At 44.4% G+C, this 21,719-nt stretch overlaps 1 protein-coding gene across 23 annotated transcripts in view; it reads left to right on the top strand.

The window, feature by feature from the left end:
• TLE1 (TLE family member 1, transcriptional corepressor) overlaps nt 1-21,719 on the top strand; it is a 105,865-nt gene that overhangs the window by 69,472 nt on the left and 14,674 nt on the right. For 9 of the 23 annotated variants that reach the window (XM_006717259.5, XM_005252162.2, XM_005252154.2 and 6 more), the window contains 6 exons: nt 3,377-3,430; nt 3,942-4,094; nt 6,555-6,699; nt 7,683-7,784; nt 8,117-8,307; nt 9,780-9,856. In XM_006717259.5, coding sequence (XP_006717322.1) covers nt 3,377-3,430; nt 3,942-4,094; nt 6,555-6,699; nt 7,683-7,784; nt 8,117-8,307; nt 9,780-9,856 — 722 coding nt within the window. The remainder of the gene's footprint in view (nt 1-3,376; nt 3,431-3,941; nt 4,095-6,554; nt 6,700-7,682; nt 7,785-8,116; nt 8,308-9,779; nt 9,857-21,719) is intronic. The other 14 variants (XM_047423817.1, XM_006717263.2, XM_006717262.2 and 11 more) reach the window with 4 other exon arrangements.

The raw sequence follows: 21,719 nt of genomic DNA, 5'->3' as shown, positions 1-21,719 counted from the left end.
GTCTCTGCATTTTTCATTTTGTCCTGGACTCTGTGAATTTAGTAGCCACTCCTGCTAAAATAGAGTAAAAATTATAGTGTCACAAAAGCTTTGTGGATGCTGTTCTGATAATATAGGCTCATGGTACTTCTCAAGGCAGAGCTCAATGTCTTCCATAGTGAGCATTCTAGTGATCTAAGTTCATGGTCAAAATGGAAGAAACCCCAGAGGCATCTTGTTTAAATTCTGTAGATGAGATCACTCTACTGGTTGATGGAGTGAGGGCTCTTGTCACAGATCCAGCTAAAACCACATTCAAAAGGAAACCAAACCAAGCCAGATGGCCATTGGCTCTGTTCTCAGGGTTATAAACATTGCAGCCGATGTATGACTTGGAGTTGCCTGTGTGTCCCTGAGTGTCTGTTTCAGGATGGATGCATTCTCAGGAACAGTATGAAAGTAAAGTTGCTGAAATGGGGCTACGTCCCTGATGCCCTTGCAGGAAGAGGTATCTACTGTGCAGGCTATGTGGAGGTCTAAACACTAGACAGAGGATAGTGTCTCCTGCTGGCTGGCCCAAGCCTATAGCTGATGATAGGTAACATCTTTTTGAGTGCCACCTGGAGTTAGTGCCAGGTACCTTGTGATTTTTTCATGGATTATTTCATTTAACTCTTATAACATCCCAGTGATTTGCTGGAGCCAGCTGTAGTATCTCTGCTCTTCGACACAATGCTAAGATGTGCAAACCCACCTCCAGTATTGGATTATTTTACCAGAGATCCTCAAATTGGTTCACACTTTGCACTATGCTTTAATAACATACTAAGAAACAAAGCTGTTGGTTCTCCCCACCCTAGCCCAACACTTTTTAGCACATATCATTCTCCCCTTGCCTGTTGCCCAGAGCTGATGTCCCATGCATGTACTTTCATTGTGTACTTTCAGTGTTAATAAGCAAGTTGGAAGGTTTATGACATGCAGAGATTTGCTGATGTAGAATTCTGAATTGCCCTTCATGAGGCTGTTGTGTATAGTAAGTTATTTAGTAATGAGTGCTCTAGAATCCATAAAGCTTGCCGTGGTAGTTTTGTAACCTGCATGTACTAGGTTTGTCTGGTTGGATAGATGGTTAGGGACCATGTGTGGAGAGTATGTTGGAGAATCTGGAACAGAGGCCTCAGACCTTAGATCACTGATGACAGACATGTACTGTCCTGTGAAGGTTTATATTTGCAGAAGGGTCCGGTACAAAGCTAAGATTTAAATTACGGTAAACTCACTTCAGAGTTCCATTGTAACAAAGGAATAGTTTGCTACTTTTTGCTAGTTCCTTATGTGTACTAAATTAGCCATTTTCATAATTTTCTTTTTAGAAGAGAAACTCTTTTAGTTTATATTTTTTCACCACCACCACCCTTAATACCTGGAAACATTTGTGCTTTGCTGTGGGCTTTACCAAGAGAAAACAGATTTTCGTTAGTATTAGTTTTGTTCTTTATTGCATGAAAATATTTATTTCAGTAGACTGTTATTTAGGATTACCCAGGCTTCCTCATTGGTTGTAATTTGAAGTTGTTACTAGTGAATTGCATGGTGACCCTGTAACCATGGCTAAAATATATCTTGTAACACGCTATTGAAGAAAATAAATTGGGTCTCTCACGTGTAGTGCTCTGGGTATGATTAGGAAATAAATCATTTAAGACCTGAATTTAGAGTTGAGGGTAAACTTTCTAGACTAGATTTGTGGGCCTACTTCAGAAGGCCAATGTGGATAATATTTGCACTTGTTTGTACTAATATTTTTCAGATATTATTTCTATATTCTTCACTGACAACAGCATCAGTAAGAGAATTGTTTAGATCATAAATTCAGGACCTCTTCCTTTCCAAGAATTCAAAACCATTGAGATGTCCTGCTTTTTCCATATGCCTACATTGTATAATGTATTACTCTGCCCTAAAGGACATGAGACGTTTTGGCTAAGAAGGTAGACTTTTTCAGCCTGCCTCAAACTTGATGTAGGGATGATCGCATCATTGAATTTTTTGTTGTTGTTGTTGTTTTGAGACGGAGTCTTGCTTTTGTCACTCAGGCTGGAGTGCAATGGCACAATCTCGGCTCACTGCAACCTCCACCTCCCAGGTTCAAGCGATTCTCCTGCCTCAGCCTCCGGAGTAGCTGGGATTAACAGATGCACGCCACTAAACCCAGCTAATTTTTGTATTTTTAGTAGAGACGGGGTTTCACCATGTTGTCCAGGCTGGTCTCGAGCTCCTGACCTCGTGATCCACCTGCCTCGGCCTCCCAAAGTGCTGGGATTATAGGCTTGAGCCACCGCGCCCAGCCCACATCATTAAATTGAACAGGCTTTATTTTATTTATTTTTTTGTGACAGAGTCTTGCTATGTCGGCTAGGCCAGAGTGCAGTGGCACGATCTCAGCTCACTGCAACCTGCACCTGCTGGGTTCAAACGATCCTTGTGCCTCAGCTGCCTGAATAGCTGTGACTGCAGGCATGCGCCACCACGCCCGGCTAATTTTTGTATTTTTAGTAGAGACAGGGTTTCACCACGTTGGCCAGGCTGGTCTTGAACTCCTGGCCTCAAGCGATCCACCTGCCCGCCTCGGCCTCCCAAAGTGCTGGGATTACAGGCGTGAGCCACTGTGCCCGGCTGAACAGCTTTTCCGAATCTTTTCCAAACCCAGTGCTACCTTGGAGTTTCCTCTGATTAGTAAATATGATAGCTTTATGAGGGGACAATGAGAGCCCTATTGCAGAATGCCATTGCCCTTCAAATATTGCCATCTATTATCTTTCCAAAAATACTTCAAGCTGATTGCTAAAAAGGTTTATTTTTAATTTACTTTTTTGTTACTTAAGAGAAAAAGATTGGGTTTTGTTTGCTTATTCGATCCACCAGCTAGCTTTCCAGGATTCTTTTTTTTTTTTTTTTTTGCATTAACTAGTAATCCCATGGGAAAATGGTTTCCCTTGAAATCATATGGAAAAACTCTGATATAAGGGTGTGCAGATCTCAAATTAAAGATTTCATCCCTCGAGAAATTCAGCTGTTGCAACCATTTACTGAGCTCTTACAATCTGCCAAGTATTTGCAACTTGCCATCACCTGTAAACAAGTTGTGATTGGATAGTTGGTTTGCTACTGCTACAGAATTCCTGCCTGAAGCTTTGCCTAGCCCCAGGTCAGATGAGAAGAGGGGGAAGATGATAATAATTACTAGGACTGGCAAACTGATAGAGAGCCTGCAGGCCTGTCCCAGGTAGTTTTTTTAGTCTGTCTGCTACCAGGAACTATAGAAAGAAATCTAACTGTGCCTCAAACCTATTCTTAGCTTTTAGTAAATGGCGTTAATGTTTCTTTTTTCCAGGACAGTGATGGTGACAAAAGCGATGACAACTTAGTTGTGGATGTGTCTAATGAGGTAACCATTCTTTTCATCAAAGTTTGTCTTCAGAATGATTTGAATAATGTTATGAAAAAAAACTAACAGTGAATGAAGGAAGTAGAGCCCCTCGGTGGGGGGACCTCTTGCAACTTCTTACATTAAGAAGTTAATGGTTGCTCATGTATGGAGCAATAATGGTCTAACTGACATAAAGTTTTATTTCCTTTAAAAAAAGATATTTCTCTAGACATTTTGAATGCCTAAGTTGGATGTTTGGCTCCCCTTTCCTTCCAGTGCCCTCTAGGCAAAGTTCTTAAGCATGAGGCACAAAGAGGGATATGACTGCGGGGTTTTTTTTTTATGGCATGTTTGCAGGTATGTTTGCCGACACCATATTGCTCATTTATAACATGGTGTTGGTCACCTTGTACAACCCCAACCCGAAGGACTTTCAGCTCTGTCCTTAAATTTAGAGAATGAGTGTGGAAAGGGAAAAGTCTGTCTGTTACAAGCTAAATCACGAAAACTTTTGATTATGCTTGTTGAGGACCCTTCTTCTCCGCGAGCAAGCCCTGCCCACTCGCCCCGGGAAAATGGAATCGACAAAAATCGCCTGCTAAAGAAGGATGCTTCTAGCAGTCCAGCTTCCACGGCCTCCTCGGCAAGTTCCACTTCTTTGAAATCCAAAGAAATGAGCTTGGTAGGTAAAGAAAACTGACACTTGCCTGTTTGGCAGTGTATTTTTCATTGTGGACTGGAGGACTCTGAAGTATTGGAAATGTGGGGGTTTTGCTGCTTGAGGGTTGTATTTTTAAGAGTTTAATAGTGAAACTCATCCTTCTGTTCTTTGTCACCATTCAGGGTTTACTTTTTCCCCTCAGTCATCTCTTTTCGGCCATGATTAGAGGGTGTACACGCATCTGTGTTCATTGCCTTCTTCTTCTTCTTCTTCTTTTTTTTTTTTTTTTTGAGACGGAGTCTCACTCCATCATCCAGGCTAGAGTGCAGTGGTGCAGTCTCAGCTCACTGCAGCCTCTGCCTCCTGGGTTCAAGCGATTCTCCTGCCTCTGCCCCCTGAGTAGCTGGGATTACAGGCGCGCGCGACCATGCCCAGCTAATTTTTTTTTTTTTTTTTTTGTATTTTTAGTAGAGATGGGGTTTTGCCATGTTTGTCAGGCTGGTCTTGAACTCCTGACCTCTTTGATCCACCCGCCTCAGCCTCCCAAAGTGTTGGGATTACAAGCCCAGCCTCATTGCCGTCTTACTTGGGGGATATGTTCTTGCCACACAGCTCTCTGAAACTTCCCAGTTGACAAATGGTTCAAACTTCTGAGATTCTTTTTTTTTTTTTCTGAGACGGAGTCTCACTCTGTTGCCCAGGCTGGAGTGCAGTGGCGTGATCTCGGCACACTGCAACCTCCACCTCCCAGGTTCAAACAATTCTCCTGCCTCAGCCTCCCCAGTAGCTGGGATTACAGGCACTCACCACCACGCCTGGTACCACCATACATTAGAGAGGGTGTACACGCATCCATGTTCATTGCCTTCTTCTTCTTCTTCTTTTTTTTTTTTTTTTTTTTTTTTTTTTTTTTTTTTTTTTGAGATGGAGTCTCACTCTGTCACCCAGGCTGGAGTGCAGTGGTGCAATCTTGGCTTATTACAGGGTTTCATGTTGGCCATGCTGGTCTTGAACTCCTGACCTCAGGCAATCTGCCTGCCTTGGCCTCCCAAAGTGCTGGGATTACAGGTGTGAGCCACCGCACCTGGCCTCAAACTTCCGAGATTCTTAAGTCTTCATTTTCTTAGGCTGGTCATTTACCTGGTAGACTGATCCTTAATATCGGGGCATGTCATAGAGCATGCCCCGATATTATGGAGCTCGTCAGATCAGTGATGCACAAAGGAGGCCCCAGGGGAAGCCAGGAACTGGTGCATCAGAACCCACTCATGTGGTCACTCATTCAATCAAACTTTGTAGACTGCATCATCTTTTAACAATAACATTTCATAACAACCCTTCAGTTAATCCTTACCTGGTCCCGGTAGGCATTATCCCATTTTACCGGTTGGGAGGGATGAATAACTTAACAAGGCTACACAGCCGTGGCTCATGATCCAAGGTCAGAAAGAGCTCTCTTTAGCCCGTGCTCTTTGCCACGCTGTAGTGGTTCTTGGACTGTGTTGTAAAGCACATGAAAGGTTGAAAGGCCAGAGAAGGTGCCCTGTAACCCTGTTACTGTCTGGTCTCCGAAAGGCCCCTTGCTGGTGTTCAGTCTCTGATCTGCACTGGTGGGTCCACTTTGGTTATGTAGGCAAGTGGGCAGTGACTCTTAACTCCAAAGTGTTGTTCTTTTTAGGCATATTGGTAAGGTTAGCCCTGGGGCTTTTGTCTCTGAGATACTGGCCCCACTCTCTCTCACCATTTGTCTCAATCCCAGGGCTACCTAAAAAGGAGACTTGAAAAGGGGTCTTCTGGCCTGGCGCGGTGGCTCAGGCCTGTAATCCCAGCACTTTGGGAGGCCAAGGCGGGTGGATCACGAGGTCAGGAGATCGAGACCATCCTGGCTAACATGGTGAAACCCCGTCTCCACTAAAAATACAAAAAAATTAGCTGGGCATGGTGGCGGGCACCTGTAGTCCCAGCTACTCAGGAGGCAGAGGCAGGAGAATGGCGTGAACCCGGGAGGCGGAGCTTGTAGTAGGCCGAGATTGCGCCACTGCACTCCAGCTTGGGTGACAGAGTGAGACTCCATCTCAAAAAAAAAAAAAAAAAAAGAAAAGAAAAGGGGTCTTCCTTGGACTTGGCGGCCAGGACATGTGTTTCTGAGTGCCTGGGAAATATTCTCTGGGTGGTCATCTTTCTAACTTGGCGTAGACCCAAAGTCCACAAGGCTGATGGAAAATACTTTTAAAATAAAATCTGCGGAGGAAGAAGTGTGATCATGTTCTGTGTCTCTAGCTCGAGTTTTAATTCTGGCAGGAAGAGGAAAGGTCAACATTTCTCGCTCACAAGTTAATGCTGTCAACATTGTGTGGATTTATGAAAATTGGCTGAGGGAGTAGCTAGAAGGTGCCCAGTGTCCCAGCTGCTGTTGTGATAAATTGTGTAATATGGCTTGGATTAAAAATAATACTCATTTAATTTGTTTAATGACACCAGCATGAAAAAGCCAGCACGCCTGTTCTGAAATCCAGCACACCAACGCCTCGGAGCGACATGCCAACGCCGGGCACCAGCGCCACTCCAGGCCTCCGTCCAGGTCTCGGCAAGCCTCCAGCCATAGACCCCCTCGTTAACCAAGCGGGTACAGCATCGCCTCTTGTTGTGCTTTGTTTGGTTTCTCCCATTCCCAGCTTGATTTGTTGTCTGTTAATGTTGTGACGCAATTGCCCTACAAATATGAAATGTACGTAGGGCCACCCTCCTTCCTATCTCTGAAAAAGCCATGATAAGAAACAGATGTTTGTCCTGGGGTTTCAGCAGCTGCACTCTGTTCAGTCTCCAACTGTTTACATTCAGCTTTTCTTTTTTTCTTGAGACGAAGTCTCGCTCTTGTCCCCCCAGGCTGGAATGCAATGGCGTGATCTCAGCTCACTGCAACCTCTGCCTCCTGGGCTTTGAGACGAAAGTCTTGCTCTTGTCCCCCCCAGGCTGGAATGCAATGGCGGGATCTCAGCTCACTGCAACCTCTGCCTCCTGGGTTCAAGCGATTCTCTTGCCTGAGCCTCCTAAAGAGCTGGGATTACAGGCGCCTGCCACCACGCCTGGCTAATTTTTGTATTTTTAGTAGAGACGGGGTTTCACCATGTTGGCCAGGCTGGTCTCAAACTCCTGACCTCAGGTGATCTGCCCATCTCGGCCTCCCAAAGTGCTGGGATTACAGGCGTGAGCTACCTTGCCCAGCCTTCTTTTAGTTTTAAATAATTCAAATCCTAGGGACTTCAGTAAAGTTTCTGATAATTATTTTGAACACAAGCCTCCCCACCTAACTAGCATTGTGCGTCTGACTTTGCTAATACTGGCTGAAACAGCGGTTTGGCTGGCCCAACCGTGCTCCTTGCAGACTATAGTTTGCTGGTTTTCTGCTAGGGGAGGCTTCAGGAATCAGTGGTCTCTCCTGCAGTAGAAATTAGGAGGGTTTCTCTGCGACTCCAGCCCTTAAAAAACTCATAATTTGCAACCTGATATTCCCCAGTGGGAAAGGAAAAAAGCAACAACCTGGGCCCAAAGGAAAATAGGCAACAGAATATTCCTCCTAAACCCGTGCTTTGGTTTACGTAAATCCAGGATTGGATTTTCATTTGGAATTGGTACCAGGGAATGGAAAGTTCGGACTGAAAGAGAAATCTTGGATTTTATCGAGAAAATCTTCTTTTGAGATTAAGTCAGGTAAACACTTGGTGCCTGTGCCTTGGTTTGCCCTCTGTAAATTGGGTAGGGAATACTCTTAATTCCCCTGGCTTCCTGGTGCTGCCATTTACACAAATGAGAAAATGTGTGGGTTGTGCTTCCCCTGGAGTCTTTTCTTTCCTGGAGATGCATTCGCTCTGGGGAAGGAGGGATCCAGTGTATAAATTGGAGGTGATTTTCCCCCTCCCCTAGAAGCCTTACCTCTTTCTCTCTCCCCATGAGTGACACTAACAAATGATGAGGCCAGACTTGCTGGTCAGGTTTGATGGAGTGGGTCAGTTGAATGATGTGCGGCTTGTGTTTCCTTTCAGCAGCTGGCTTGAGGACACCCCTGGCAGTGCCCGGCCCATATCCTGCTCCTTTTGGGATGGTCCCCCACGCTGGCATGAACGGCGAGCTGACCAGCCCAGGCGCTGCCTACGCCAGTTTACACAACATGTCGCCCCAGATGAGCGCCGCAGCCGCCGCGGCCGCCGTGGTGGCCTACGGGCGCTCCCCCATGGTAGGCCGCTGTCGGGTGGGCTGTGGTTGGGGTAGGAACGCTGCATGCTCCATTGAGCGCTGTCAGGTTTGGGGCCAGGCCTCTCTGCGCTGCGTGGGCAGGAGCAGCCAGCCCCACACACCTCGGAGACAAAGACGCCCAGTCTCCCAGCCACACACTCACCTTCCTCTTGTCAGCTTTCATCAGCATGCTGCTTCATTAAGTGAGGGCCAAACGTTTTTTGTTTTAGTGTTTTTGTGGATGAAAAAGGCAGTGTTTAGAAGCTCCTTCAGTGGTTCAGGGGACATCTGGTTTTCTCCCACCAAAGTCGATTTTTTTTATTTGAAGGCGATGAAATGATTCGAGTGGTTCACAGAAGCCTTTTCATTCATTTTCTTGAACTTTTTTTTTCTCATTAAACCTTAGGAAAAAATGTCTGAGAAGCCATCGCTTTCTCTTTCTATGCCTATGTTACACTTTAAACCCAATAGCATGACTTATATATAAGCAGTGGTCTCTGTAAACAGGTAGAATTCTGGACAGACTGAACCACGGGGGCAGGCTGTCTCTCGTCTGTTTGCCCTGCCTCTTGCCACTGTGCAAATGATCTAATTTTTGAACAAGAAGAAACAAAACTGCATTTGAAGGGTAGAATTGGCTCTGTGATCGTTGATTGCATTAAGGGTATAAAGTCCCACCGTCATTTCTCTTGGCTGTTTGAAAAATGTCCTCTACCTTTCTCTCTTGTCCCCTCTTCACATAGCATTACCTCCACTAGTTTGCGGTGACATTAAGATTCATTTGTTTTTCCTGATATTGCACTTGTAGGAGAGGCTGTGCAGTGGCGGGCAAAGTGTTGAAAGTAAGGTGGTCAGCTGAGAGACTACATGCTGTCCTTAACGCTGCACAAAGTAGGGAATCCATGTATGAATCCTTAAGCATTAAATTAGACCCATGTATGCAACTGGGGATGATTTTGTCCCTTGAGGACATTTGATAATATCTGGAGACACTTTTGATTATCATAACTGGGGGTGGGAGGGGGGGCAGGTATGGATTCCTCTTGGCACATAAACAGTAGGGGCCAGGAATGATATTCAGCATCCTGCAACGCCCAGGACGGCCCCTAACAAAGAAAAGAACTGTTTGGCCCCAAATGTCAATAGTGCTGAGGTTGAGAAATCCTAATACAACATACTGCTCTGTGAACTTGCTTGCAAGTCTAAGGGAAGTATTTACCATGGGGAAGTGGTTCTCAGTGCACAAATAGATCACATCTCCTCTCTACCTCCCAAAAAGGAAGTGGGTCTTGTGGCGTTCAGGGGTGCTTATATTACCTCTTGCATAGTAATTAAAAAGAAAAACACTAGGCCATGTTACTGTTCCCATTTATGTTGCTTTGGGGATCTGTGAGTTTCTAATGAACAGTATTGATGTTCACAAAGTGCCTGCTGCAATAAACTGAGTCTGCAATGCCTTATTTTTGTTTCCAGGTGGGGTTTGATCCTCCCCCTCACATGAGAGTACCTACCATTCCTCCAAACCTGGCAGGAATCCCTGGGGGGAAACCGTAAGTACCTCAAAGACCTTGGTTTTGTTTTAAAGGTGGTTACTCAGTCATTGGTATTAGCAGACTAGAATTCCAAAGGGAGTACAGGCTTGGGCGTTTCCAAGGAGATTTCTGGTGTCTTTTCCTGAGGAGTGTTAACACTTTCTATAAATAGGCAGCTTGTAGGTGTCATGCCTCTGTCTTCTCCCTGGGGGTGATCTCCTTAGTTATTTCTGGAGAGAAACTGTTGGAGATGAGGACGAGGTGGGAGGAAAGAGCTGGAGGTGGCTGGCCCTCTTCGCCTGACCCCTCAGAAAGCTGCTCTGCTCTGCTCTGCCATTTGGCTAGAGGGCAGCTGCTGGAGATTCCCAACAGTGCTGTGCTGTGGGCAGTCAGCTGTCACGAACTCTTGCAGGCTTAGACACTTTTTTGAAATGTGTCATCTCTTTACTCAGCTCTGTGCCACCTTTTTCTTATTTTGGTGGAAACAAGAGTTATTTGAAGGGTAGGTTGTGTTGGATGCCAGCACCCCAGGTTTACCCCCAAGTAAAGTTTTGATGAGTGCTCCAAGAGATCTAGAATTATAAAAAGCAAAGTGGCTTCGTGGGGAAGCAGGAAAAGTTAATGTTCATTTTGTGTCCAGTGCACAAAAGAATTGGAATTTAAAAAAACTCAATTGGCTATTCTTCCTGGGTCACTTTAAAAATTGCTTCATTTTCATAATGTTAGTAATTAGAAGTGTGATTTCAAAGAATTGCTAAAGTTCTCAAATTTTTTAAACAGCAGAATTGAAATGTGAAGGTCTGTTTTGCTTAGCAGCAAAACTCTGCCTTCTCCTAAGATAGAAAATAGCAGAGGCCAGGCGCAGTGGCTCACGCCTATAATCCTAGCACTTTGGGAGGCTGAGGCGGGTGGATCACCTGAGGTCGGGGGTTCGAGACCAGCCTGGCCAATGTGGCGAAACCCCGTCTCTACTAAAAATACAAAAATTAGCTGGGCGTGGTGGTATGTGCCTGTAATCCCAGCTACTCGGGAGGCTGAGACCAGAGAATCGCTTGAACCTGGGTGGCGGAGGTTGCAGTGAGTGAAGATCATGCCACTGCACTCCAGCCTGGGTGACAGAAGGAGACTCTGTCTCAAAAAGGAAAGGAAAGGAAAGGAGAGGAGAGGAAAGGGGAGGGGAGGGGGCAGGTCTTTGCAAATGTTGTTTTTTTTCTTTTTCTTTAAGGCAGCAGATCTTTGCAAATGTTGTTGCTTTTTTTTCTTTTTCTTTTTCTTTCTTTCTTTCTTTTTTTTATTATTTTTGAGACGGAGTTTCACTCGTTGCCGAGGCTGGAGTGCAGTGGTGCGATCTCGGCTCACTGCAACCTCTGCCTCCCGGGTTCAAGCAATTCTTCTGTCTCAGCCTCTCGAGTAGCTGGGATTATGGGTGCATGCCACTATGCCTGGCTAATTTTTGTATTTTTAGTAGAGATGGGGTTTCATCATATTGGTCAGGCTGGTTTTGAACTCCTGACCTCAGCTGATCTGCCCTGCTCAGCCTCCCAAAGTGTTGCGATTACAGGCGTGAGCCACCGTGCCCAGCTGATTTTGTTTCAATAAAGGTACTGGTGCTACATGTCTTAGGCCTTCAGTTTGTTTTTGTCATACCCTTGCCTTCATGTGGTTGCTTTCAGCTTTTATCAGTACGTCACTTGCATGTCACATTAGTGAGTTTTTTATTTTTAGAAACAGGGTCTTGCTCTGTTGCCCAGGCTGAAATGCAGTGGCACAATCACAGCTCACTGCAGCCTCGACCTCCTAGGCTCCAGCCATCCTCCTGCCTTGGCTTCCTGAGTAGCTAAGACTACAGGCGTGTGTCACCATACCTGGCCAATTTTTAAATTTATTTTTGTAGTGACAGGGTCTCCCTATGTTGCCCAGGCTGGTCGTTGGGGCACTTGTGAGCATTTCCTATCTGTGGTTGCCAGCAGTGTTGTAGCTATTGTATTCCACTGATTGGTGAGTGGATAAGGGGCAAACCGGTAAAGTTGTGAGGCCCTGGCTTCACACAGTCCTCCTGCCTTGGCCTCCCAAAGTGCTTGGATTACAGGCATGAGCCACCACGCCCAGCATGGTGAATTATTTTGAGCAGTCCACTCAGCTGCCCGGTCATCCTTGTGTGGTTTTGATAAGAGCCTTGTTTCAAATAAACCACCAGCATGAGATAAAATTGAATTTCTTACCCTGTCACCTGCTTTTTAGGAAAGCCGATTCCCATTGCTCTACTTTTCATATATTATAATATCTGTTTCACAATAATTTGATTCATTATGAAATGAGGTTTTTGTCTACACTAGGAATCAGTAGCAATGTTAGGAATTTATGATGACCTCTGTGCCCAATGAAGGGAGTCAGGGGTAGTATTGCTTAATGTTCACTTAGCTGGTAGTTCTCTTCCAGTTGAGTACCCATGAACTAGTTACTACCTGGTGTGTTTTCTTGGGAATTTGGGAATGCCCCCCTGCTTCCAGCCTGGGAGGTCCTTGGGGCACTTGCGAGCATTTCCTATCTGTGGTTGCCAGCAGTGTTGTAGCTGTTGTGTTCTACTGATTGGTGAGTGGATAAAGGGCAAACCAGTAAAGTTGTGATGAGAAGCAGTAATACCAGTAACCAATGAACCTTTGGTGGAATAACAGGCAAATAAGGCCAAGTTCAGCTGATCCTTAGGGAAAAAGCTAGCTTCAAGAGTTAGAGGTACGGGGCGTGTGTTCAGCTGCTAAGCCCCCACTTGGGTGTAATAGAAGATGCAGTGGGGGAAGGCGGGTGAGCAGAGCTGTGAGCTGTGATGCTAGGGTGGAAGGCTGGTGGGTGGGCACAGTTAAATTGGACCCTATTCCTTATATGTGTGTGTGTGTGTGTGTATTAACAGGGTCAGTTGTAAGACAGAAGTAATATCATGCTTATTAAAGTATTCATGTCCTTGGCTTGTGAGCACCTTGCATTTCTTTGTGTTCAGAGCCATGCAAACTAGAATCACAATGTGCCTAAGGACAAGGACAGTGGACACAGTGGCCAATGTTGTGATACTATGTCGGGGTACTTTTCTCATCTTGGTCAAAATCGCCATTGGCCTTTGGCAATCATTGCTTGCTCTAAAATAATTAAAATCTCTCTCTCTCTCCATTTTTTTTTTTTTTTAGAGACACTGGGTCTCCCTGGGTTGCCTAGGCTGGTTTCAAACTCCTGGGCTCAAGTGATCCTCTTGCCATGGCCTCCCAAAGTGCTGGGACTACAGGCATGAGCCACCATGCCTGGCCTAAAATATATTTTTTAGGATTCTCTTTCATGTTTGAGCCATATTATGTGAGGAAGATAGACTTAATATCAGAAGGAAAAATGAACTTTGCCATTGTTGCCAGGATCTGGGTTATATACAATCTTACTGCCTCTCTCTCTATATATATATATATGGTTTTTTTTTTAATTATACTTTAAGTTCTAGGGTACATGTGTACAATGTTCAGGTTTGTTACATAGGTATACATGTGCCATGTTGGTTTTCTGCACCCATCAACTCGTTATTTACATTAGGTATTTCTCCTAATGCTATCCCTCCCCCAGTCCCCCACCTGCTGACAGGCCCCAGTGTGTGATGTTCCCCACCTGTGTCCAAGTGTTCTCATTGTTCAGCTCCCACCTATGAGTGAAAACATGCAGTGTTTGGTTTTCTGTCCTTGTGCTTGTGATAGTTTGCTGAGAATGATGGTTTCCAGCTTCATCCATGTCCCTGCAAAGGACATGAACTCATCCTTTTTTATGGCTGCATAGTATTCCATGGTGTGTATGTGCCACATTTTCTTAATCCAGTCTATCATTGATGGACATTTGGGTTGGTTCCAAGTCTTTGCTGTTTTGAATAGTGCTACAATAAACATATGTGTGCATGTGTCTTTATAGCAGCATGATTTATAATCCTTTGGGTATACACCCAGTAATGGGATGGCTGGGTCAAATGGTATTTCTAGTTCTAGATCCTTGAGGAATTGCCATGCTGTCTTCCACAATGGTTGAACTAGTTTACAGTCCCATCAACAGTGTAAAAGTGTTCTTATTTCTCCACATCCTCTCCAGCATCTGTTGTCTCCTGACTTTTTAATGATCGCCATTCTAACTGGCATGAGATGGTATCTCATTGTGGTTTTGATTTGCATTTCTCTGATGGCCAGTGATGATGAGCATTTTTTCATGTGTCTGTTGGCTGCATAAATGTCTTCTTTTGAGAAGTGTCTGTTCATATCCTTTGCCCACTTTTTGATGGGGTTGTTTTTTTCTTGTAAATTTGTTTAAGTTCTTTGTAGATTCTGGATATTAGCCCTTTGTCAGATGGGTAGATTGCAAAAATTTTCTCCCATTCTGTAGGTTGCCTGTTCACTCTAATGGTAGTTTTTTTTTTTTTGCCGTGCAGAAACTCTTTAGTTTAATTAGATCCCATTTGTCTATTTTGGCTTTTGTTGCCATTGCTTTTGGTGTTTTAGTCATGAAGTCTTTGCCCATGCCTATGTCCTGAATGGTATTGCCTAGGTTTTCTTCTAGGGTTTTTATGGTTTTAGGTCTAATATTTAAATCTTTAATCCATCTTGAATTAATTTTTATATAAGGTGTAAGGAAGGGATTCAGTTTCAGCTTTCTACGTATGACTGCCCATATCTATTAATTAGTATGAGAGGACTTGTTGTTCTTACTATTTAGTAAAGTAATATTGCCTGAGGCAGTGCTGCTCAAACTATTTATGGTGACAGACCAGTTCCCCGCCCCGCCCCGTAAGTCAAAGATAGGTACATTTGTAACATACAATACAAATGAATAGGAGGGAAAAGATACCAAATCCAAGTCCATTTTTTGTTGTTACAAGAGTCAACAGCCCTAAGTCCTCAGGTTGCTGTCGCTCACTCTCGATGACTGCACTCATCTCACTGCAAACAGTAGCCAGTGTTTGCTGACCACACGTTGAGTAGGGCTGGTCTGAGGCACTTAAGAGAAATGAGGACAAACTCATGTGTCCAGGATAGAGTGAACAAGGCGTTAAAAGTTATACAAATAATTCTCTGAAAAATACCCACGGAAAGAATGCTTGGGTGAGGCAGACGGAAGGCACAGTTGCCATTCATAGACTGAGTGTGAACTGTCAGGCTTTGTGTGCGATGCCAGGCATGCTCCAGGAAAGAGGGTGCTCTCAGCCTTCTCTGCCCTTGGGGGCTTGATGATGTCATTAAAAGAAAAGTAAATATCCTGGTTTGACTTGTGATATGTGCTCTTGAGGCAGAGCAGTGGGTGATAGGGAGACATGTAAAGAAGTGACCAAAATTAGGGTCAGAAAGACTTCGTGGGGTGAAGCTGAAGCGCATGCAGGAAGGAATGAGTTTCCCATGGAACCGGGGAGGCACAGTCTGTGTCGTGCACAGAGAGAGAGCTTGAGGGATCCATGTGCAGGTGGATGAGTGCCTCCTGAGTGTTACAGCCAGAAGAGTTCAGTTGGGGCAGGAGGGACCTTAATGTCCCTTTAGTATAAATGCTCATCCATGGTTCAAGTCTGCTAAGATAGCCTCGTGCAGTGACAGTGTGCCTCTGACCGTGCGTGTCCAAGGATGGGGGACCCACTGCTGCCCAGAACAATGCATTTTCCATGACTGTGTGAAAACTCTTCTAGCCCTTGAGCTGAATCTGTCTCCCTGGAACTTTGACTCATCAATCCTGGCTCTTTCCTACCCGCTGAGACCACACAGCACACTGCTAATCTATCATCCTCATGGCAGCTCTTCAGTGTTTGGAGACCTCCACACCACCCTGAGGCTTCTCTTCTGGCTAGAATTTGTCTGTCGCTTCAGCCCTCTCTTGTGGGCCATGGTTTAGGGTTCCCACATCACCTGCTCACTAAGATCCAGATCCTGTCACTTCCTTTCCATCCACACTTTCACAGATTTTATTGAGACCTCCTGCATAGGCATAGGGGACCCCACCGGGAGCTCACAGCCTAGGATGGGGTGCAGGGAAGGAAAAATTCTCCTTTGCCCTCTCAGAGTCTGCCGCTGGGCCTGAGAATCAAACTGACATAAGATAGATTAACAGGAGAAATGCATGCAAGTCTTATTAAGAATTTAGGTGTACATGGGAGTCTTCACAAGGAAATGAAGACCCAAAGAAGCGACCAGAGCAGACAGCTTGTATCACCTTTTTTTGTTGTTCTGTTTTGTTTTTTTGAGACAAAGTCTCGTTCTGTCATCCAGGCTGGAGTGTAGTGGCCCAATCTCGGCTCACTGCAACTTCTACCTCCCGGGTTCAAGCGATTCTCCTGCCTCAGCCTCCCGAGTCGCTGGGATTACAAGCGTACACCGCCATGTCCGGCTAATTTTTGTGTTTTTAGTAGAGACAGGGTTTCACCATGTTGGCCAGGCTGGTCTTGAATTCATAACCTCAGGTGATCCACCCACCTTGGCCTCCCAAAGTGCTGGGATTACAGGCATGAGCCACCACGCCTGACCTTGTATCACTTTTATACAAAGAAATGACAAATTTGTGAAGACATGACAAGAAAAAGAGTTTTGGGCTGGAGGCAGTAAATTGTGGGGAAGTAACTAAGAGATAGATATATTGGGGGAAAACTTGTGGGAGACAAAGGTTATTTTGGTAAGTTTATTTGTGGAAATCCCTTTTAGTGTTGATTCCCAGACTCTGGTGATAAGGCTGTTCTTCTGTTTCTGGTACAGGGAGGGCACCTTTCTCGTGGGAAATTTTATGGCCTGTTTTTGTATAGAAAGAGAGAGGTCAGAAAGTCTTTCCTGGATCTCTCATTTCTCAAGTGTTTTCAGCTCAATATAACCAATATACCGAAAGGGCATATTTGGTGTGGCATATCCTGAACAGGATCCTTCAAGGGGAACATGAGTTAAATAATCACAAAATCCAAGGCAGAATTGTAGACCCTGAGGCTACCACGGAGCTATTACAGAGGAACAGTGTCCTAGAAAGCCTATGACACAGCATGGGGGACTGATCCCATTGAGAATAGTCAAGCAGGGATTCCCTGCAGAAGGGTTTTCAGAGCTGCACTAACCCAATAGGGGAAGGGGCTGAACCTCTAGGTGGAGAGAGCAGCATGTGCAAAGGCCCGGTGACTTCACGCTGTTGTCAATCAGAGTGGAACAGAGTAAGATGACTTGTAGTGCTACCATTCCACACTCCTGTTTCCGGTGTTAAGATGACAAGATGGGTTTCCCAACCACCCTGGTCACCTTCCCTCCTCTCTCATACCCATTCCAGCCTCCCCAAACTTCTTCTCTTTGTTAAAGCATCATTCCCATTCCCTCTGACATCTGAGCCCAAACTTTAGTGTTAGATTCTTCCCCATTTAACTCGTTTTTTTTTTAACAGTCTTATTCTTTGTTAAAATTCTCACCTTTCTCATGCCCAGTTTTGTCAGTAAGGTCCTAGCTGAGTGTTGTCTTCCTTCCTCATCAGATTGCTGTCAGTGTATTCTTTATTGTAAAGCACTTATCAGGTCCATGTGTTGCACAGAGATCTTCAAAAGTTGAATACAGATTGAGCATCTTAATTCGAAAATTCAAAATCCAAAATGCTTCAAAATCTGAAACTTTTTGAGTACCGACATGAGCCACACATGGAAAATTCCACACCTGACCTCATGTGACAAGGTGCGGTCAAAACACACAACACACAGTTTATTTGGTATCCCCAAGGGAAAACTAAAATCACCTTCAGGCTAAGTGCATAAGGTCTGTATGAAACAGAAATGAATTTTGTGTTTAGACTGGGTCCCATCCCCAAGATGACTCATTTATGTATATGTAAATATTCTGAAGTCTGAAAAAAATCCGACATCAGAAACACTTCTGGTCCTGAAGCATTTTGGATAAGGGATGTTCGACCTGTATAAACCGACGTGCCCTTCAAGGCCCCGCTGGTAATATCCCCCCAGCCTGCTTTTCCGGTGCCATGTCCTGTGTGCTTTACATCCTGTGCTAACACAATGGGATGAGCCTCTGTTCCCTGATGACTCCAGCCCCTGCTCCCTGGAGCAGCTTCCCTTCTCACTGGTCTCTTTCTGTTGAAGTATTTTCTGTCCTTCAAAGCCCACTTGAGTTGCTACCTCCTTCATGAAGCCTTCATGGATGCCTTCCCATCTATGGTCTCCCTCCAGTTGCACCGTGAAACATCTTATGACACTTCTCACACTTTTGAGAGCTTGGATTATAATCGTGTACAAGCCGTGTTTCTATCTGCTTCCTCCCCAGGAGGATGGAAGTTCCCGAAGTCTTGTCCCTTGAGCATAGATACCCAGGAAACAAATGTTCGTTGCCTTGAATAGGTGGGAGACAGGTCCAGGATTGTGTAAGATCCTGTGATTCATTCTTTTCTAAAGGAGATCCCTTGTTCGCATTTTCGAATTATTAAGTAGTGTTGGTTTATAAGAGGTAACCCTGAGCTTGTTTTCATACCCTCAAGGCTGGATTTAATTGGTATTGTTTAGTTCAGCATAACTTGAATTCATTTTTAGTTTTAGGACATTTATTCCCCTGAGCTCTGTGGAGATCATTGGTAAGAGAAATTCCAAAGTTTAGTTAGACTTTTTTTTTTTTTTTCTGGCACTGTAGCACTGCTGTTCTCCCTATAAATACCTGGGGGCTGTGCTCTACCTGCCTTATATATTAGCACCTAGAGGTCAGTAATAACTCAGGCTAATAATAGTTTGGCTTAAGAGTCTAGGGTAGTTACAGGTCCTTTCACCCTATGTTTTAATGCCAGACATGTAATTTAGAAATCTTCTACCCACTTGTTTAGTGTTTAAATAAATCTTTAAAGTACCTTTTTGGTTTAGAGCCTAAAGGGAAAAGAAAAATCTTAACTACGTTTGGGGTAAAATTGCCTCATAGGAAAACACTTGCAGCAGTGATTAGAGACCCTTTCCAGGCTTTTAGCCAAGAAAAAGTTTCAGTGGCCGGGGGCTTCCCCCTTTCACCCCACTTTTTCTGTTTCTGATCTTCTGGTTTCTCTGTTTTTGTCTAGATTCCACAGCTCGCTTATTTAGTGGACTTGAAAATTGATTCAGCCCTCTTTTTATTTGATGGGGTTGTATGACTCTGGGTTCTCCAGAGAAACAGAACCAATAAACTATAGATATGGATATGGAGAAGGAGTTATTTGGAGGGATTGGCTCACACGACTGTGTAGACTGAGAAATCCCATGATTTATTGTCTGCAAGCTGGAGGCCCGGGAAAGCTGGCGCAGTTCTACTCCAAGCTGAGGCCTGAGAACCAGTAGCACTGATAATCGAGAGCAGCAGGTAGATGTTCCAGCTCAAGTGAAGGGCACACTTGCTCCTCCTCTAACTTTCTGTCCTGTCCAGGCCTTCAGTGATACCCACCTGCACTGGTGGGGGACCTTCTTTACTCAGGTTACCTATTCAAATGCTAATCTCTTCTAGAAACAGCCTCAGAGGCACACCTAGAAATAGTTTTATCAGCCACTCTGGTGTCCCTTAGTTGATTTAATCAAGTTGACATATAAAATTGACCATCACAGTGATATTTGGGTAGGTTTTTTTTTTTTTTTTTGGTCTATTAAATGCTAAAAATAACATGCCCATTTTGTTCCTTATTATTGCCATGTGGGTATTAGTTTAATTTCTGTTTTTCTACCTTCTGATATAGGAATATGTAGCTTAATTTTTTGAAATTAAGTTGAGGTGAGGCCGTTCCTTTTTAAAAAGAAAAATGAGATGGGGATCTCCAGGGTGACCTCAAACTCCTGAGCTCAGGGGATCCTCCTGCCTCAGCCTCCTGAGTAGCTGGGAGGACCTTCCTTTTGATGTCAGTTGTGTTTAGCTATAATAATTCCTCACTTTACTTCTCTCTCTCCCTCTTCACCTTGTCAGAAATGACTTTTGGTTTATGGGATATAAATGTAGTGTGTATATTTCTTGCTTGGATAATGCTCGTTTTTGTCTGTAGTGATAGTTCCTTTGCTGGAATTTTTTAGTTTAGCTTTGAAATAGCAATATATTAAGCCTCTTTTTGTTTTACTTTCCATCCAAGAATTTCTCCATTTGTATCTTTGTCCTGTTTAGGAGCCTTGTTCCTGCCCCAGCACATTGAGAAGTTTGGAAACGTGTAATTGATAGAGGAAGTTAGGTCCTAGAACTCAGAATCTTAAATGTTGACTTTGGCTGGAATACTTCCTCATTTATCAACTTAGGTCATCTGTTTCTTGTTTTCTTTGCTTGTAATCTTCTTTTACATATCCATTTTAAGAAGTTTTGTATTTGCCTTTAAAAAAAATAAATGAAAATAGAGTGTATGCCTCTAAATAAGGAAACAAAGAGTCTCCCAACCTAATGCTTTGAAGTTTGCTACTTTCAAGTTAGTTGTTAATAAAGCCCTCCGTTAACACAGAAATGCTGTCTTCCAAATAAGGTGGGAATTATACCCTGTTCTGCATATTTTCTATTTGGAAGAATACGCAAATGGCCAAACTGGAAAAATTTTGTAGATGTCATGGGTTAGATGTGCAGACCCTTAAAAAAAATTGACAGAGGAAGGTTTTACCCATAGCAGGTAAATTATACTTTCTTCTAAAGTCTTAGAATAATAAGACTGATTTTCTTATGAGCCCCATGTCACTATTCCTCCCAGCCACCGCCTTTATTAGTTTTCAGGCTAAGAGTATCCTCTGGAATCATAAATTACATTATTCTCATCCATTCCATAAGGAGCCCGGTTCCCCCAGCCCCCACAGTCACACTCACGATGTCGACATGCCTTATGTTGCTCACGATGTGTGGGGTAGGTGTCTTTGTCCTGGTGGGTCCCACGTTATCCCTCTTGAGGGGATAACGTCACAGGTAGTGCTGATGTGGAAGCTAAGGTAAAGATTAACAGCTCCACTTTTGCAGCTGGGCTGAGCTGGAGTTGGTCTACCGCTTACTAGCCGTGGTTATGGGCGAGTTACTTAGCCTATCCTGTGCCACCTTCCCTCATCTCTAAACAGTAAGGGATAGTGAGCCCCCTCCTGTGATGTGGCAAACAAAGGTTGACTATATTGCGCTTCATAGTTTTCTTGAAGTACTTTCCCATGTGGCTTCATTACTTCACACCTCAGCAGTCCTGTTCATAGGCTAAGTTTTGTCAGGGCACATTGTAAAAATGGGGAAATGAGGCTCAAGTTAGTTAGGCTTGGTGCCCACATGTTACTGGTCATTAAACTGAAGCAATTGCTTGTGCCTTCTGACTTCTTGCACTTGACTGTGTGGGTCCTGCTTTCCAGGGCCCAGATGCAGGATGGAGCTTGTTCCATGTGACCTCTGGTTGCTTCTGCCACAGCTTACTTGGGAAGGGCCCAGCATCCACTGGATTTAGCTGGCTTAGGGGAAAGCTATGGATTTCACTTCATTATTGTCATTGCTTTCATTATCTTTTCTGTGGTCTAAGTCAGCTGTCTAGAGACTGCCTTTCCCCCTTAGGAAACTGCTACCATCTCTTAGTGACATTTGGTATAATTGCTAGACGTTGCCTGGGAAAAGTTGGCTGGCATAACCCAGGGGCTTAGAGAGGAATGCCCACCTTATTTTAGCAGATTTTCCTTACCAGGGCAACTTTTCCTCAATATATAAGTGATTAGGTAACAGTAGACAGCTTGTGGTGTTCTGATCCTTTGATGGAGTGCTGGCTGGTGAAACCTTCTGCCTGCCCCTGAAGAACTCTGGAATCGGAAAGACTTAAATGTTCACCATATGAGAAGTACTATTAGAGAGGTTAATAGGAAAGGTTAGGACCCTGGGAAAGAATCATCAAGGCTGGGGAGTTCGTGGCAGGCAGAGGGAGGGAGGAA

This window comes from Homo sapiens, chromosome 9, assembly GCF_000001405.40.
Source record: "Homo sapiens chromosome 9, GRCh38.p14 Primary Assembly".
Classification (NCBI taxonomy): Eukaryota; Metazoa; Chordata; class Mammalia; order Primates; family Hominidae; genus Homo; species Homo sapiens.
The sequence above is the reverse complement of the archived record's forward strand: the minus strand, read 5'-3'. Positions and strand labels throughout refer to the sequence as shown.